Source organism: Homo sapiens, chromosome 16 (assembly GCF_000001405.40).
Source record: "Homo sapiens chromosome 16, GRCh38.p14 Primary Assembly".
Taxonomy (NCBI): domain Eukaryota; kingdom Metazoa; phylum Chordata; class Mammalia; order Primates; family Hominidae; genus Homo; species Homo sapiens.
The window spans coordinates 20,701,189-20,720,663 of record NC_000016.10 but is presented as its reverse complement, the minus strand read 5'-3'; the positions used below and the strand labels follow the sequence as shown (position 1 = coordinate 20,720,663).

At 40.2% G+C, this 19,475-nt stretch overlaps 1 protein-coding gene and 2 pseudogenes across 23 annotated transcripts in view; 1 reads left to right on the top strand and 2 right to left on the bottom strand.

The window, feature by feature from the left end:
- Positions 1 to 9,238, bottom strand: part of LOC100887080 (acyl-CoA synthetase medium chain family member 4 pseudogene) — a 21,565-nt pseudogene extending 12,327 nt beyond the window's left edge.
- ACSM3 (acyl-CoA synthetase medium chain family member 3) overlaps positions 1 to 19,475 on the bottom strand; it is a 123,177-nt gene that overhangs the window by 76,918 nt on the left and 26,784 nt on the right. For 11 of the 23 annotated variants that reach the window (XM_047434427.1, XM_024450368.2, XM_047434435.1 and 8 more), the window contains one exon: positions 2,171 to 2,314. The exons of the other annotated variants lie outside the window; for them this stretch is intronic. The gene's annotated coding sequence lies outside the window, so the exon portion shown is untranslated. The remainder of the gene's footprint in view (positions 1 to 2,170; positions 2,315 to 19,475) is intronic. 23 annotated transcript variants of the gene reach the window in all.
- Positions 1 to 19,475, top strand: part of LOC124903661 (NADH-ubiquinone oxidoreductase chain 5-like) — a 21,663-nt pseudogene extending 2,188 nt beyond the window's left edge.

Here is a 19,475-nt window from a genome sequence, read left to right as displayed (position 1 = left end):
TGTGGAGATCTCCGTTCTTATGTTAGCCTACATTTATGTTAAGGCCCTTAAACTAGGGATCCCCAACACCCAGGCCACAGACCGGTTCCTGTCCATGGCCTGTTAGGAGGTGGGCTGCACAGCAGGAGTGAGTGGCAAGGCTAGTGTGCAAAGCTTCATTTGTATTTACAGCCACTCTCCATCACTTGCATTATGGCCTGAGCTCCGCCTCCTGTCAGGTCAGTGGTGGCATTAGATTCTTATAGGAGTGCGTACCCTATTGTGAACTGTACATGCGAGAGATCTAGGTTGCAGGCTCCTTATGAGAATCTAATGCCTGATAGTCTGTCACTATCTCCCATTACTCCCAGATGGGACTGTCTAGTTGCAGGAAAACAAACTCAGGGCTTTCACTGATTCTACATTATGGTAAGTTGTATAATTATTTCATTATACATTACAATTTAATAGTAATAGAAATAAAGCACACAATAAATGTAATGAGCTCGAATCCCTCCCTCTCCCACTTGACCATGGAAAAATGGTCTTCCATGAAACCAGTCCCTAGCGCCAAAAAGGCTGGGGGACTTCTGCCTTAAACCACCGTGTCAGGCCAGTTAGCAAAATAACAGGTGAACAGCTTTTATTCACACATAGGTGTAGTTTGTATGTAATAATATGTATTTTCTTAAACTTAATTGATTTGTCATGGTTGAAAATAATTGGCCTGAATCACATTTTTCTAAAGGCTAAAGAAATTAGAATTATCTGATATCTCAATCTAGCTGTCCCTGGTTGAGAAGGCAGGGCATGCATGTCTGATTTCCAGAAGAGTATTACGTTCTGAGAATTAACAACTTGGGGAAGAGTAAGAGGAGCTGCTCTGGGCAAAGGTGCCCGCACTTTTAATCTCTGCTCTGCACAAGAGTCATGGTTTATCAGCTATTATCTTGGTTTCACTGAATTAGAAATGAAGTATTTGTTTAGATTTGAGACTTCTAATCTGTTATTTAGAACCAGATTCTTAAGTAGCTACAGTTTCAGTGACACTAGCAAATCCTGAACTATTTGAAGCAGAAGTCTGGATTTCCTGCCTGAGAGTGTTGCAGTTGTTTCCCCCACCCCGCCCCACTCTGTTAAACACATTTCAAAAGCCAAGGCCCTGGAGACTTTGCTTCTTATAAAGAAATGATTTCCAGAAGCCCAAGAAGCCTGGTATTCTGAGGTATCATTTCTTTGTGATTTTATGGGAGACAAGGAAGAGCTCTAAAGATCTATCTAGCTGGAGGACATGACTTACATCTAGGAAGGTGTCAATGTCAAACTGTGCCATCTGATGCATAAAAACACAGGCTCCATAAAGCCAGGAAGAAAATATACTGCCAAAGGTGGCCTTGACCCAGCCTGTGTCAGACACATTCCATATGCTATCTGAGGACTTAGATATCCAGCCAATATCTAAATGATATGAAGAAGCCACAAAACAGACCAAAAATAAACAAACAAAAATTAAAAACAACTGGTATCTTTCAGGAGTGACCTTGCCCCCAAACCTTAAGGGCTGCAGAGAAGGGTCAAAAGAAGCCCCAGGCAAGTTGACAGATTCTACCTCTACTCTTCTTAAAGGCCTTTTCAGAATCCTAGGTTGTCTGAGAGTAGAGTGGGAGGCTGGGTTTGGCATGATTTTTTGAGTTTGTCCATTGATGCAACAAATACTTGTTAAGTAAAAATGTGCTAAGCACTGTTCTACAGCAGTGAGCAAGAGACCAGACCTCTGCTCTTATTTTAGGTGACAGCGAATACATATACAATGAAGTGAATTAAGTATATCATTATTTTAAATAGTGTAAATGCTATTAGGAAAATAAAATAGGGTAACGTGAAAACTTAGGATAGTCTCTCTTTTAGGAAGGCCTTTCTGGGTAGGTAAATTTACCTAGCAATGATTAAAGGAAGCCAGACATGTTGTTAAGGGACTGAATTAAGGTCGATTCTTAAGTTCTTGCTTGATCAGCTGGTTAGATTGTGTCATTTACTAAGCTAGGTTGGGCACGGCCAGCACAAGTTCTGTTTGGTAGCAATTAATTGGCAATATCTTATAGCAATTCAAGGAGAAGTATCGATTAGTTGGATACACATATTGGCAGCTCTTTGGGGAGTTCAAACCCAAAACCAGAGTTTTCTTCCCTACCTTCCACAGACGGTGAACCCAATGCTGAAGCTGCTCTGAGAGTGCTGGGCCATCTTAGGAGAGCCTGTCGTCCCACTGGTGAAATAAATGGCCACTGGTTCTTGACTTCCTGTTTCCACACAGCTGTGCTCTTCAGAGGCGGATCTGCAAAATATGGATGGACCCCAAGATGGTGGTGTAAGATGGCCAGTTTAACTCTGATATTTCTTCTGCTCAGCTACTTATGCCCTCTTGTTACCAGAAGATAGTTAACAGAACTGAACCTAATCCAAAGCTTTCCTGAGAGGGATTCTCAAGAAATCTTAGAGGGACTTGGAAGATCAGTCTCTGCTAAAATTTTACAGTTCTCCTTCTCCTTCTCCTTTTCTTTTCTTCTTCTTCTTCTCCTTTTCCTTCTCCTTGAGGGACTTGGAAGATCAGTCCCTGCTAAAAAATTTAACAGTCCAGTTCTTCTTCTTCTTTCTTTTCTTCTTCTTCTTCTTCTTCTTCTTCTTCTTCTTCTTCTTCTTCTTCTTCTTCTTCTTCTTCTTCTTCTTCCTCTTCCTCTTCCTCTTCTCCTTCTCCTTCTCCTCCTTCTTCTTCTTTTTTTCCTCCTTCTCCTTCTTCCCCTTCTCCTTCTCCTTCTTCTCCTTCTCCTCCTCTTCCTCCTCCTTCTTCTTCCTTCTTCCTTCCTCTTCTTCTTTTTTTAAGCTTCATCTCCCTATAGCCTAAATAAATAGCCAAGATAACTTTCAATATTAATAACAAAAGGACATGCATTTTATCTATTGTAAGATTTTTTTTCCAAGTGCTTTTTAGAAAAATCTACGAGTTTTTAAAAATCAGCATGGAATCTTTGTAAATTGCTGTTAATGTTTCAGGAGTTTTTATTATTTAAAGGACATCTTGTATTATTAAAAGACATTTAGACTGTCCTGATGGAGAAAGAGGCCATGTGCAGGAAAACCAAGGTGCTTCAGCTGGCACCTTTTGATATTTGAATCAAACTTATAAATAATTCTTGTTCAATATCTTCGACATCTGTAGCAGACAGAATGAGTTGCTTATCAAATAGCTGTCCTCTTCTTCTTCCTTTCACTGATAAAACTGATTTTGTTCAGGTATCAGGCAATCAAGTGCTTCCGGTAAGACTGTCCTGTATAGCTCCTGGGGGAGCTTGATTAATCTAAGCAAGTCACAGTCATTCCTTTGGTTTAAGATTAGGCACATGATGCAGTATGGACAATGAGATATATGGCTTTAATGGGAAATATTTCTTTGTTCTGAAAAGAGTCATGAGGAAGAGATGCAGCCTTCTTCCCTTGCCCCATCCTGTTTTATGGCCTTTGAGTTTTGTGCACGTACAGGATGTCTGGAGCTACCATAGCTATGTTGGGTTCATACCAAGGGTAGCACGTTAGGAAGATGAATAAATTTGGGTCCCTGTTAATTTCATTGAACCACTGAATTCACCAACTTTCAGTCCACCTTACCTGTGTATTTTCATTTGTCAGATAATAAACTTGTTTGTATTGTTTTAGTCGCTTGTATTTGGGTTACTAAATCCAAAGACATTCTAACTGATAACAATCTCTGTGTAAGATTGTCTACAAAGATAGCTCCATGATTCCTTTTATCCCTGTTGGGGTGATCAGACCCAATACCAGGCCGTGGGGGCTACGAAGTCCGGCGGAGTCAAAGGAATGAGAAAAGACAGGTTAAGAGTACATAAGTTGGGTCCAGGGGGCCAACGCTGGTATGCAGGCTGCGAAGGCCCTGAGCTCTAGGAGCCCACACTATTTATTGGTGATCAAACAAAGAAGCACGTGGTGAGGACGTGAGGGTAAACAGGTGAGGGTGTGAGGATGTGGGAGTAGAAATGTAGCAGTGCATCAAGTGTAGCTGTAATGGTTTAGCATTTTCTTTGATGCATATAGAATATGCTCTGCTGCTTGCGATAATGGAGAGCATGTTTATAAGCCTGGGAGAGCAACCAACAAGTCTGTGCACATTCCAGGGGCCACAAGGGGTTTTATGCCCTGAACCCTGGGTTCCATCCAAGCCACGAGGAGTTTTATGCCATGGGCTTAGATTTGTGGTGTGGCAGGGCAGTCTTCCACCCTTTGGCACAGAGCTTGCTGTTCCAAAGGCCACGAGGGGTTTTAGACCCTGGACCCCAGACATCTTCCAAGACTCTTTTATTTTATGACAGACAAGCCAGTCCTGCCCCAGCTTTTCTGCCAACAATCCCTATACAAAAATTCTTAGATATTGTTATCAGTTACCCATCACTGAGTAACAAACCACCCCTGTATGCCATTGCTTCATTGGAGAGCAGAGCATATGTCCTCTCTCTTTGAATCTGGGGTGGTCCCATGACTTGCTTCGATTAATGCACTGTGGCACAGGTTCTGGAACTTCTCAGCCTAGGCCTCAAGAAGGTTCATAGATTTCACTTTCCCTGGGGGGTAACTTAGCCACCATATAAAGATGTTTAGACTGTCCTGCTGGAGAGAGAGGCCATGTACAGGAAAACCAAGGTGCTTCAGCTGGCAGCCAGCCTGACTTGAGGGTGAACCTGCCTTGGATACTCGAGCCCCAGTCAGGCTGATGTGGAGCAGAAACCAGCTGCCCCTGCTGAGCCCTGTGTGAATTTCTGACCCATGGAATCATGAGCAAATAAAATACTACTGTTTACACCACTAAGTGCTGGGATGGTTTGTTACTCAGTGATGGGTAACTGATACAATATCTAAGGATTTTTGAAACTGGTGTATCGTAGTCTTAATTTCTCTGGTTGAAGGGAACAGGGTTAAGGATGCTGTTTTAATTCATCTTGATGATGAATGAGATTGTCATTGAAACTGTAAAAACAGTGAGGATTTTTTTTTGTTTTGTTTTGTTTTGTTTTGAGATGGAGTCTCACTCTGTCACCCAGGCTGGAGTGCAGTGGTGTAATCTCGGTTCACTGCAACCTCCACATCCCAGGTTCAACTGATCCTCCTCACTCAGCTGTCTGAGTAGCTGGAACTACAGGCATGTGCCACCACACATGGCTAATTTTTGTATTTTTAGTGGAGACGGGGTTTCACCATGTCGGCCAGGCTGGTCTCAAACTCCTGACCTCAGGTGATCCACCCACCCCAGGATCCAAAAGTGCTGGGATTACAGATGTGAGCCACCATGACTGTCGAACAGTGAAGATTATTTGAAAATAGTTTCAGAAAATATTAACATGGTTTTCTTGGTAACTTCCTTCCTCCCCTTAAAATAGAAAAAGATCATTCATTCAGCTATATTGATTTTCTTTTCAATTCAAATATAGAGTCAAATTGGTATGTGTTGGGCTAGAGAGAGGGGGATTTCTTCACAGAATCTGATACCTTGCAGGGAGACCCCTCATATTTAAATACTTCTCAATCCAGTATGGAAATCTTTTGGTAGGAGGCATCTATCTGTCTATCTATTTACCTACTTACCTTTCATCTATCCATCCATCTATCTACCTATCTATCTATCTTTCGTCTATCCATCTGTCTGTCTATCTAAAAGAAAAGACATCACAATCTGTGAGTGACAAGCAGTGATTCCATTATCCAACTTGTCTTCCTTTCCTTGAATACCTGAGTTCTGAGTTATGTCTTTCCAGGTTTTCAGAGCTAAGTATATACTAATGACTTCCAGATTTGTATCTTTGCCTCTTGTTCCTGAGACTCATATATCCACCACCTGCTAGACATTTGAATGTTCACAGAACCTTCGATCTTGTATGTCCAACTGTAAACTTATTATCCTAACATCGACTGTCTCTCTCTCTCTCTCCAACCGATGGTACCCACCCACTGATCACCTAAGTCAAAAAGCAGATCAACCTTGACTCTTTCTTCCTTCATCTTCCACATCCAATATTCTCTAAGTCCTGCTAGTTCTTTAGTTTGCTGCTTTCCCTCCATCCTATTCATCAGAGCTCAGGTTTAGATTTTTGTCATTTCTTTCCTAGATTAGGCTCCAAGATGGTCTGATTCCAGTTTGGTCCTCCTCAAACTAATCCTCTACATAGCTGCCAGATAAATCTATTTAATTTAATTTAATCCAAACCTGGCCCTGGAACTTCTGTTCTTAAACCCATCAATGGCATCCCTTGTTTACAGGGGCAATTTAAGATTTATCATGGCATATGAGATCTTCCATAATCTGGCCTCTGTTTGCTCTTACAGCCTTCACTCTATCTCCATATTTTGTTCTCTAGCTAGCCCAAACTGTGTGTAGTCTATTCCTTCCACACCTTAGGGTGTTTTTTTTTTTTGCCTCCATATCTTTGCTCTTGCTGTTCCTGAAACTGGAGCACCATCTTGACCCCCTCAAGATCAGAATCCAGAGTCCCGGACAGGGTCTTCTGTACTAGGACAGAAAAAGAGAAATATAATTCTGGCTTATAATGTTGACCTTTTCCCTCATCCATTATGAATATTCTGGAAAGTGTTCATGAACGTATACACTTGAGAGTCAGAAGGAGGGTGAGAAGCCTTAAAATGAACTCCTTGAATAGAAGATCAACTCTAACAGTGTAAAATTAGCCCACATTATTGCCGTGTGTAGTCTTCTGAAAAACTAGCCAACTGTTGGCAATGAGACAGCTTTCCCTTCCCTAGTTTTTAGAGAAACAATCTGTGCCCTTTTTGGAGTTATGGCACTTCAAAGTTTGAAATGAGGATTTTTTCCATCTTGAAAACTACCCCCAAAATATGCACATTTCAATTTGAGATCCACATGAGTTTAATTAAAGTCCTTTATCGTTTGTAAATTTTGTGGCTCCTTTAAGGTTTCTTGGGGACTCTACAGAATATTGCAAAGTTGTTTAGGACAGGAGTCTCTGAAGTGGAAGTGCTTGCTGCTCAGGAAGTGTGCAAGGCAACTGGGATAGAGAAGAGACAAGAATTGAAAATTATGTGTTTTGTGTTTTCTAGACAGGGTTCCATTCTGTCACCCAGGCTGGAGTGCAGTGGCACAATTGTATTTTTTTACTCATCCTCTAAAATTTTTATTTTTGGTATTCGTATAATGCACAAAAGTACATGTATATAATTTATAAATAAATAAATACATGTATGGGGGGGTATGTTAAAAAGTATTTTACTAATGGAGATGTATATTCAAATAATATAAATACCACTACCTTAGGAATCACTACTGTTGAATGACTTTGTTAACTTGAAAATTATAATAATGATTGCAGTTATAATTACTGTAATATTTATGGAGTGATTACTCTATGCCAGGCATTCAGCTAAGAATTTCATGTTTTATCACATTTGATTCTCCTACAACCCCATGAGGTAGATACTATCATTATCTCCATTGTATGGATAAGATACAGAGTTTCAGCAAATGTTACTTATCCAAGGTTACACAGCTTATAAAAGACACAAGCAATATTCACTGATGTGGCCCTTGGGAAAGAATTTTGGGATTGGACAAATAGTATTTTGTATATATTAATCAGTGGGAGAAAATTTTATTCTAACAAATAAAACTGTTATTCAGCAGGGTTTACATGTCATCTCTTTCTATAAACTTCTCTGGTTTTTGTTTTTTTTTTTTTGAGACAGAGTCTTGCTCTGTCGCCTGGGCTGGAGTGCAATGGTGCCATCTCAGCTCACTGAAACCTCCACTGCCCAGGTTCAAGAGATTCTCCTGCCTCAGCCTCCCAAGTAGCTATGATTACAGGCACCTGCCACCACGCCTGGCTAATTTTTGTACTTTTTTTTTTTTTTAGAGACAGGTTTTCACCATGTTGGCCAGGCTGGTCTCAAACTCCTGACCTCAGGTGATCAACCCACCTCAGCCTCCCAAAGTGCTGGGATTACAGGTGTGAGCCACTGCACCAGGCCTGGAATAATTTTTTTTTTAAACATAAGCTACTCAACACCTCTTTGAAGAATAATACCATTAATATTTTACTCTTTTTTTTACATCTTAGGAAACACTTTCTCACATATTCATTTAATTTATCCTCAAAACAACAAGAGATATGTACAGTATAATTATCCTCATTTTACATATGAAGAAAACTGTAGTTGTGATTTCTTTTGCTCATTCATTCAGTAAATATTAAGCACTATCTATGTGTTAGGAACTGAGGATAGGAAGATCAATCAAAGTCTCTGCTTTCTTAGAACTTACGGTTTAGGGCAGGAGTTGGCAAACTTTTTCTGTAAAGGGCCAGATAGCAAATATCTTAGGCTTTGTGGGCCTAGGTTTCTGTTGTAACTACTCCACTCTGCTGTTGTTACATAGACAACATGTAAATAAATGAGTGTGGATGCATTCCAGTAAAACTTTATTTACAAAAACAGGGCCAGGTGTGGTGGCTCATGCCTGTAATCCCAGCTACTTGCGAGGCTGGGGTAATGTGGTCAAGGAGAAGTTCACTTAGGATAAAATATTTGAGCCAAAATTTGACAAGAAGGAACCACTCATGAAAAGGAATAGGAAGAGCACTCCAGGCAGAAGAAACAGCAGGTGCAAAGGCCCTGAGATAGGGCATGTTTGAGGAAGAAAAGGAAGAGTGGTGGGATACGTGGTTGGTTCAGATTTAAGCAAGAGCCATATAATGCAGGATACTCATTATAGACCACTAGGAAGCAGGAGGATGGAGGCAGAACTACATCCCTTCCTTATGCCCTTAAATCTGGTTATTAGGTAATTCTTTTCCGAGTAGGAGCCCAGATCAACTCACAGTGTTCCTGAGTCCTTGGAGGCAAAGATATTCCAAGATGTAGCAATAATTTGTGTTGTTGCTGGCAGCGTAGATTGGCTGGGAAAAATACTCACTGAAATAACTCCTGGAAACTGAGCCACCTGTTCCGGCTTTGTGGAGACACCAGGAGTTTGGTCTTAAAGTCAGGACACTCCAGTGCAATGGACTCCACTACTGGGACCACCTCCTCACTGGCCACAATGCACTTGGCCTTGGATGCTTGCAGCCGGTAGAGGATATATTTTGCTGTCAGCTGGATTGTTCCTGGCATGAAGACAATCCCTGGGAAGGACACTAAACAGAACCGCCATCCCTTAAGTGAGACTCTGTGGACGGTGGAAGATTTGGGCTTTGTGCCTGGGTGAGGAGGAGCATTACAATCCATCCTTCAGTTACCTCTGCCTTGATTCTCCAATGATATTGTACAAGACTCTGATCCCTGAGAGATTTTTAGAGCACTGGCTTCGGAGTCTGACAGACGATGGGCCTAATCCTGGCCTTGCAACTTACTAGCTTTGTGACCTTGATCTCTCTGTGTCTTTTTTTCCTTATCTGTAAAATGGGAATAACAATAATAAGTGTCTGGAATATAGTAGACATTATTATGGTGGGCCATTATTATGTAACATTTTAATGTAATATTTGAATCTTTTTTTTTTTTGAGACAGAGTCTGGGAGTCTTAGTCTGTCACCCAGGCTGGAGTGCAGTGGCATGATCTTGGCTCACTGCAACCTCCGCCTCCCAGGTTCAAGAGATTCTCCTGCTTTAGCCTCCCAAGTAGCTAGGATTATAGGTGCCCACTACCATGCCTAGCTAATTTTTTGTATTCTTAGTAGAGATGGGGTTTCACCATGTTGGCCAGGCTGGTGTCGAACTCCTGACCTCAGGTGACCCACCTGCCTAGGCCTCCCAAAGTGCTGGGATTACAGGTGTGAGCCACTGCACTCGACCTAAATTATTATTATGTACCACTTAAATAGCACTTTACAGCTTATAACACATTTCATGAGCAATATTTCACTCAATCCTCTAAACCAATGGTCTCCAAAGTGAGTTTTGGGACAATCCACTGGGACTAAGAAATGAGAACAGAAACTTAAAAAATTATCGGCTGGGCATGTTGGCTCACACCTGTAATCCCAGTGCATAGGGAGGCCAAGATGGGAGGGTCGCTTGAGCCCAGTATTTCGAGACCAGCCTGGGTAACACAGTGAGACCCCATCTGTATTTAATTTTTAAAATAATGTTAATAATTTAATAAAATTAAAAATTACTGAGATACAATTCTTTTAATGCTTTTATCTCATTTTCATCTATGTTTTATAGTATGCATACTATATTAGTGCAGTAGAACAATGTAAGTGCTACACTCAGATGGGAAGATGTGTATTCTAAATATTTTTATTGATAGATTATACAACCCAAAATGCCTAGAGACTACTGTTTTAAGCAACCCTGGAAGGTCCATGTGGTTGTGCCCATTGGTGGAATATGAGATTTGGCCATAGCTGGGGAGTGGCAGAGCCAGCCCTCCACTCTATGGATTCTAGTGGTCTAGCATCATCAAACCTTGCCTAGACTACTTTGGCAATGCTTAGTTTATCTCATCCTAAACACTGGCTGGAGATAAGTCTGAATTTAAAGTACCAGTTAATTGCAGAAAGAACATGCACGTCCTAATTAGATGAAAGAGAGAAGGTAGTTTGTACTTTCTAAAGTGAATTATTGGGAATAAAGTGGAGTGTATATATAGTATTACAGATAACCACTACTGTTTCTTGAACATTTATTATGTGCCTGACATCTCACTTAAAATTAATCCCAGTGCATGATAACTTATTCAAGGGTCACAAAGTCAGTAAGTGGCAAAGAACTGAAAGGATTCAAAGGTATATTCCCCAGACTCCCAAGACTTGTGCTATAAGCCAAACTACTTATTTCCTGGTGAGTTCCCTGAAGTTAGCTAAAAAGGGAAATGTGGAGTTGAATTCCTAGGAAGGAGACTTTATTTATGAATATATTTTAAAAGCTTTTAAATATCATCCCTTCTTGAGAAAGTGAATAACTGTATAAGGATAAGGAAGTGGGTTAAGAAAATACCTTAGAGTATTCATTCAATGTAAAAATATAAGATTATTTATTTTACAAACCACCTGTTCTTAATGACTTATAAATAATTAGTATCCGTGGTATATTTGTGATATGAATGCACTCAATAGGTTGACCTCTAGCTTCAGGGTTAGGGGCAGTTTTCTTCTAGTGGTTTTCAGATAGCAAATATCTTAGGCTTTACTGCATACACTTTACAGCAGAAACCAAAATATTTTGCCATGTATAGGTATAGCAATAATTCTGAGTCAGAAAACATAATCTAACCTGCTTGTTTTACATTTAATTGAGTGTTTTATGTTAACCATTTCAGCTTTGTGTTCATTTTTCATTATCATTTTATAAATTTCATAACTTATGTTAAGCAATATCATTTTTTTCTTTCTTTTTTTCTGAGATAGTGTCTCGCTCTGTGCCCAGGCTGGAGTGCAGTGGTGCCATCTCAGCTCACTGTAAGCTCCGCCTCCTGGGTTGACGCCATTCAGCATGTGGATATCCAGCTTTCCTAGCACCATTTTTTAAATTATACTTTGGGTACATGTGCACAACGTGCAGGTTTGTTACATATGTATACATGTGCCATGTTGGTGCCTAGCACCATTTATTAAAAAGACTGTCCTTTCTTCATTATGTTATCTGAGGAAGTTTGCCAAAAATCAATTGACTGTAAATGCAATGGTTTATTTCTGGGCTCTATTCTATTGCATTGATGCATATGTCTGTTTTTAAGACAATAACATGCTGTTTTAATTACTATAGTTTTGCAGTATATTGTAGTACATTGAAGTCAGGGAGTGTGATGCCTCCAGCTTTTCTCTTTTTGTTCAAGCATATTTGGAGTATTTGAGATCTTTCGTGGTTCCATATGAATTTTAGAATTGTTTTTTTCTATTTTTGTTAAAAATATCATTGGAATTTTGACAAGGATTACATCGAGTCCATAGATCACGCTGAATAATATGGACACCTTAACAATATTAATTCTTTCAATCCATGAACACAGGATATCTTTCCATTTATTTGTGTCTTCTTCAATTTTTTCCATCAGTGTTTTATAGTTTCCAGTCTGCAGGTATTTTACTTTCCTTAGTTAAATTTATTTCTGAGTGTTTTATAAATGGAATTGTTTTCTTGATTTCTTTCTTAGATAGTTCATTGTTAGTGTATAGAAACACTATTAATTTTTGTACGTTGGTTTTGTGTCCTGCAAGGTTACTGAATTTGTTTATTAGTTCTGTTTGCAGATGACAGGATCTTATAAGTAGAAAAATTCTAAAGATTCCATTAAAAAATAATTGTGCACTGCCAAAAGGTGTCGCTGTTGTTGTTGTTGTTGTTGTTTTTGAGACAGGCTTTTACTCTGTCACCCAGGCTGGAGTGCAGTGGCGTGATCTCAGCTCACTGCAACCTCCACCTCCTGGGTTCAAGCAATTCTCCTGTCTCAGCCTCCCAAGTAGCTGGGATTACAGGCATGTACCACCACACCTGGCTAATTTTTGTATGTTTAGTAGAGTGTAGGTTTCACCATGTTGGCCAGCTTGGTCTCGAACTCCTAACCTCAAGTGATCCACCCGCCTTGGCCTCCCAAAGTGCTGGGATTACAGGCATGAACCACCATGCCCTGCAAGAAAAACTTTTATGCGTTGTTATTTTTTTAAATTTCATTTAGTTGTTTAGGTGTGTTTTCTTGCATCTCACTGACCTTCTTTAAGATAATTATTTTGAATTTTTTTCAGACAATTCATAGATATCCAATTTTTTGTGGTAGGTTGCTAGGGCTTTGTTAATTTTCTTTGGTGGTTTCATGTTTGTCTGATTTCTTGTTATTCAAGTAACCTTTTCATTTGAAAGAGCAAATACTTCTTCCAGGCCTTAGAAACTGGTTTTGGCAGGTTTGTGTTCTGTTAAGTTCCCTTAACAGTTCCCAGGCAGTACAAGTTCCCAGGCAAATGAGTTTGCCTATGGGATTGTAGCCAAATGCTTTTGGAGCCAGGTAACATGACTGCTGCTGGGTCCACAATGGAGTCCACAGTTGGTGAGCCTACTATCAGGGGCTCTAGCAGGCGTGGATCCTGTCTGGGCCCAGGGTGGTCTCTACTGTCTCCAGGACCTTGGTCCAAAGGGCTGGTACTGGGCTGATGGTCTACTTCAGGTGCACAGGAATAGGCCTGTTGTCCGGTTTGTGAATGGGTATGACTCCTCCAGGTCCCCAGGAGGGCTCTTGCTGGACCACTGGGTGAGACCTTGGGCAGGCAGTACTGCTCCAGTCTGCAGCTGAGAGGGGCGGAAACCAAGTTGCAGGGCTGCTTCAAGGTCTACAACTGAGACAGAAATATTCAGGCCTATCTCTGGTGTCACTGATGGGCATGTCTCACAGTGGGTCCCTGGGCAGGCAGCCATGCTCTCGATCTGTAGCTAAGTTGGAGTTGAGATTCAGGGCCTTTTCAGGATCTGCTATGGGGACTGAGGTTGGCAAGTATGACCCTGGGGACTCACATGGACTTGTCTCCCAGCTATTCCCTGGCTGGGCAGAACTGCTCTTAGACCTCAGCTGAGGGAGCCTTGGGCTGAAATTCAGGGTCATTTCAGGATTTGCAATGTGACTGAAGTTGGCAAGGCTGTCCCAGTGGCATAGATGGGCAAGTCTCTCAGCAGCTCCATGTACAGGCAAAATTGCTCTTGGGTTGCTGCTGAGAGGGTTTGGAGGCAAGATTAAGGGCCCTTTCTCATCTGCCTGGGGACTAAAATCCAAAATCCTGCCCTAGGGACTCATATGGACATGTCTCTCTCTGGGTCCTTATGCAAGCAGGACTGATTGCTTACTGCAGCTGAGATGGGCTGGAGTTGAGTTAGATGGTTGTTTCAGGGCCTCAGTTGAGAGCAAGTTCAGTGGGCCTGTCTTCTGAGGTACTACTGTGCATGACTGCCTCCTGTCAGAGCCCTAGGCAGATGGTTTTGGTAGCAGGATCAAGTCCAAATAGGGCTTTCAACAAACATGAGGCAGATGGGGCCATTTCCAAATCTGGGGTTAGGACCACCATCAATGAGTTTACCACCTGGGTGTGGGTCTACCCTCTCAAAACAACTCTCCTAGGTCTTGGGCTCCACTGGGGTTTTACAACTCCTGCCTAAATCCCCAGGTTCTCACAAAGGCACTTTTGCCCTTGAATAGATGAGAAATTATTGTTGCCATTGGGGAATGTGAGTGGGGGACTACCTACTCTGCCATCTTGCTGACATCACTTCCTAGCTTCCTTTGTTTCTGTAGAGAAGTCAGTGGTAATTTGAACAATTGTCCCACATGTGTAATGTATCATTTTCCTCTGTCTTCTTTCAAAATTTTATCTTCTTTTTGATTTTAAGAAGTTTGATTATGACATGCCTAAGTATTGTTTTTTTTTGTATTTCTCCCATTTTAGATTTTTCTAATATTCTTGGATCTGTAAATTTATATCTTTCACCAAAATCTGGAAAACTTTTGGTCATTATTTCTTAAAATATTTTTTCTGTCTTTTTCTAGAACTCCAATTTTTATGTATACACACACACACACACACACACTGTTCCACGATTCACTGAGGCTTCACTTTTTATAAAAATATTTTTCTCTCTATTCTTAAGACTGCTAATTCCTTTTGAACTAATTTCAAGTATGCTAAATTTCTTAGATCTCCAATATGCTATAAGGTCCATTAAGTTCATTTTTAATTTAGAGTAATACATTCTTAAATAGTCTCAATTTTAAAATCATTTCTATTTTTCCACTAACATTTTTATTGTTCATATTGAACATAATTTTTTAGTCCTTGAGCATAATGATTACAGCTGTAGCACTGTTATTGAAATCCTTCTCTACTAATTCCAACATCTGAGTCTTTAGTTTTCTTCATTGATGTTCTTTTTCTCTTGCAAATGAGTATGTGTTCCTGTGTCTTTGTGTATCTAGTAATTTTAGACTTTATATTGAACATTGTCGTTAATATACTGTAGAGACTCTGGATTTTGGTAGAGAATCTGGATTTTGTTTTGTTTATTCATTTCTTTTAGCCTGAGGCTGCATGGATTCTGTGTATTTCAGGGATCAGCCATGGATTTGGGCAGAATTTATACACAAAATTTGAAGCTCCTCTTCTCTCTCTCTCTTGAAATTTTTCCATAAAAATTGAAAACTCACTCAATGCCATTTATTTCTTCAAAGGTAGACTTTTCCTAATTTATTTTTATGTTGCCTAATCTCTAATGCATTCTGAAGTTGTTTTTTTTTTTTTTTCTGAGACGGAGTCTCGCTCTGTCGCCCAGGCTGGAGTGCAGTGGCTCTCTCTCTGCTCAGTGCAAGCTCCACCTCCCGGGTTTACACCATTCTCCTGCCTCAGCCTCCTGAGTAGCTGGGACTACAGGTGCCCACCACTACGCCTGGCTAATTTGTTTGTATTTTCAGTAGAGACGGGGTTTCAGGGTGTTAGCCAGGATGTTCTCAATCTCCTGACCTCGTGATCTGCCCGCCTCGGCCTCCCAAAGTGCTGGGATTACAGGCGTGAGCCACCGCACCTGGCCCTGAAGTTGTTATTTATATTTTGTCCAGGGCTTATAGTTGGTACCTATCAAAAGGTTGATCCTATGGAAAATACTACATAGTACATTTCACTTCAAGATACTTGAAGATCATGATACTTGAAGTGAAAGCCCTACAATTAAATTCTAGTTATGAATTATTTGATTTATCTGTGCCACCAATACTCATTGTGAGCATGTGAATTTTAGCTTACCTAGAAAAATCTACTCCCAAATCATCCTCTTTTATGATAACTTGTCTATACTTTTATGGTAACTTGGCTTTAGTTGGCTATACTTTCATACTCTATACTTTTATACTCCAAAATCATCCTCTTTTATGAAGTCATCCTGTTTTATAACTTGGCTATACTTTTATACTCTCCTACATTGTCTTGGGAACTCTTAATATGTCTTTTATATGCCTCTTCTTTTTTTGTCTTTAATAAGACATATTAAGAGTTCTCAGGACAATGTAGGAGAGCATTTTGGATTGGAATCAGTATTCGAGATTTAAGCTAAGTTGTATTCTGCCTCAGAGCATTTACACTTCCTGGAATTCTGACATGTTGACTCTAGAAATCAAAACAAAGTATGATTTACAAGGGCCTGTGTGTTCTCTCAGTTCTAAGTTAGCCCTGGGAAGAACTTGTGCTAGTAGTTAAACATGGTGACTAAGCTAAGAATTTAGATCCAGGTGCATCTAAGTTGAAGTGCTCATTCTATCATTTTCTGGCTTTCGTGAGGCTGGGCAGTAGCTAAAAATCTTGAATGTCAATATTCTCATTAGTAAAAACGTAGTAATAATACTACCTTTCACATAAGGTTTTAGATTACATGATTAATACATATATAAGCCTGGAAACAGTGCCTGAAACAAACATTCAATAAATTTGAGTCCATATTATATAGCTGCCTAAACCCAGAGAGTCTCAATTTCTTCATCTTTGTAATGAAAATAAAAATATCAAGCTTGCAGCATTAATATATGTGTAAATGGAGTTATGCTTATAAATTTTACTAAGCAATGTGTACTTAAGAAGTAGTCATTTCTTCTATCTTTTCGTTTCCCTGTCCTAATACATAATACTAATAATAATACTCTCGCTAAGTGTCAGGCACTGTTCTAAGTAGTTTGTATATATTATCTCTTTTAACTTTTACAATTTTTTTCTCATTTTCAGATGAAGAAATAGAAGAAGAGCATTGCAATAACTATCAATATTTGTGTGGCCTAATATTAATAACTGGTAGGACAATAATTCCAGTTCTGGCCAGACATTGTGGCTAATGCCTATAATCCCAGCACTTTGGTAGGCCAAGGCAGGTGGATCACTTCAGATCAGAAGTTCAAGACCAGGCTGGCCAACATGGTGAAACCTCATCTCTACTAAGAATACAAAAATTAGCCAGGTATGATGGCATGTTTCTGTAGTCCCAGCTACTCAGAAGGCTGAGGCAGAAGAATTTTTCAGACCCAGGAGGCAGGGGTGACAGTGAGCTGAGATCATGCCACTGAACTCCAGCCTGGGTGACAGAATGAGACTGTCTCAAAAAAAAAAATCTGCGAAGGACATCTTCAAGGAGAGCTACAAACCACTGCTCAAGAAAATAAGAGAGGACACAAACAAATGGGAAAACATTTCATGCTCATGGATAGGAAGAATCAATGTAGTGAAAATGGTCATACTGCCCAAAGTAATTTGTAGATTCAATGCTATTCCCATCAAGCTACCAGTGACTTTCTTTGCAGAATTAGAAAAAACTACTTTAAATTTCATATGGAACAAAAAAGAGCCCATATAGCCAAGACAATCCTAAGCAAAAAGAACAAAGCTGGAGGCATCATGCTACCTGACTTCAAACTATACTACAAGGCTACTGTAACCAAAACAGCATGGTACTGGTGCCAAAACAGATATATGGACCAATGGAACAGAACAGAGACCTCAGAAATAACACTATACATCTACAGCCATCTGATCTTTGACAAACCTGACAAAAGCAAGCAGTGGGAAAAGCATTCCCTATTTAATAAATGGTGCTGGGAAAACTGGCTAGCCATATGCAGAAAACTAAAACTGGACTCCTTCATTACACCTGATACAAACATTAACTCAAGATGGATTAAAGACCTAAATGTAAAACCCAAAACCATAAAAGCCCTGGAAGAAAACCTGGGCAATGCCATTCAGGACACAGGCGTGGGCAAAGACTTCATGAGTAAAACACCAAAAGCAATTGCAACAAAAGCCAAAATTGACAAATGGGATCTAATTAAACTAAAGAGCTCTGCACAGCAAAAGAGACTAGCATCACAGTGAACAGGCAACCTACAGAATGGGAGAAAATGTTTGCAATCTACCCATCCGACAAATGGCTAATATCCAGAATCTACAAGGAACTGAAACAAATTGATAAGAACAAAAACAAACAACCCCATCATAAAATAGGCAAAGGATATGAACAGATAGTTCTCAATAGGAGATATTTATTCAGCCAACAAACATTTGAAAAAAAGCTCATCATCCCTGGTCATTAGAGAAATGCAAATCAAAATCACAATGAGATACCATCTCACGTCAGTCAGAATGGTGATTATTAAAAAGTCAGGAAACATTTGGGAGGCCAAGATGGGCAGATCACGAGGTCAGGAGTTTGAGACCAGCCTGGCTAACATGGTGAAACCCCATCTCTACTAAAGATACAAAAAATTAGCCGGGCATGGTGGCACATGCCTGTAATCCCAGCTATTCAGAAGGCTGAGGCCGGAGAATGGCTTGAACCTGGGAGGTGGAGGTTGCAGTGAGTCACGATTGCACCATTGCACTCCAGCCTGGGCAACAGGGCAAGACTCTGTCTTATAAAAAAAGAAAAGTCAGGAAACAACAGATGCTGGCAAAGCTGTGGAGAAATGGGAGCACTTCTACACTGTTGGTGGGAGTGTAAATTAGTTCAGTTATTGTGGAAGACAGTGTGGGGATTTCTCAAGGACCTAGAACCAGAAATACTATTTGACCCAGCAATCCCATTACTGGGTATATACCTAAAGGATTAGAAATCATTCTACTATAAAGATACATGCACATGTATGTTTATTGCAGCACTATTTACAGTAGCAAAGACTTGGAACCAACCAGAATGCCCATCCATGCTAGACTGGATGAAGAAAAAGTGGCACATATACACCATGGAATACTATGCAGCCATAAAAAAGAATGAGTTCATGTCCTTTGCAGGGACATGGATGAAGCTGGAAGCCATCATTGTCAGCAAACTAACACAGGAACAGAAAACCAAACACTGCATGTTCTCACTGATAAGTGGGAGTTAAACAATGATAACACATGGACACAGGGAGGGGAACATCACACACCAGTGCCTGTCAAGGGGTGAGGAGGAAAGGGAGGGAGAGCATTAGGATAAACACTTAATGCACATGGGGCTTAAAACCTAGATGACGGATTGATAGGTGCGGCAAACCACCATGGCACATGTATACCTGTGTAACAAATCTGCATGTTCTGCACATGCATCCCAGAATTTAAAGTAAAAATTTTTTTAAAAAGATTCCAGTTTGGTCTATCTGGCTCTGAAGTTTCTTTTTAAAAATTTGTAACAGCCACCCTTTGAAAAGCACTTGCTGTATGGTAGACATTGTCAAGTGTCTTCCGAACATTATTTCAAATCACTCCTTCCACAGTATACAAGTCCATGCAATACTGGATCTGAGATGAGTGGGGAAGTCATTGGTCAATTTATACGGCATGGTTGAACAAAAATAAAACCACACTGGAATTTTCTATTGTCATCAATTCCAGAGTATTGAGAAGCATGGCAGATAGGATAGAGACAGCCTATAAGCAGGAAAAACTAGCTTAAATAAAATCATGATTCAAGTCCTA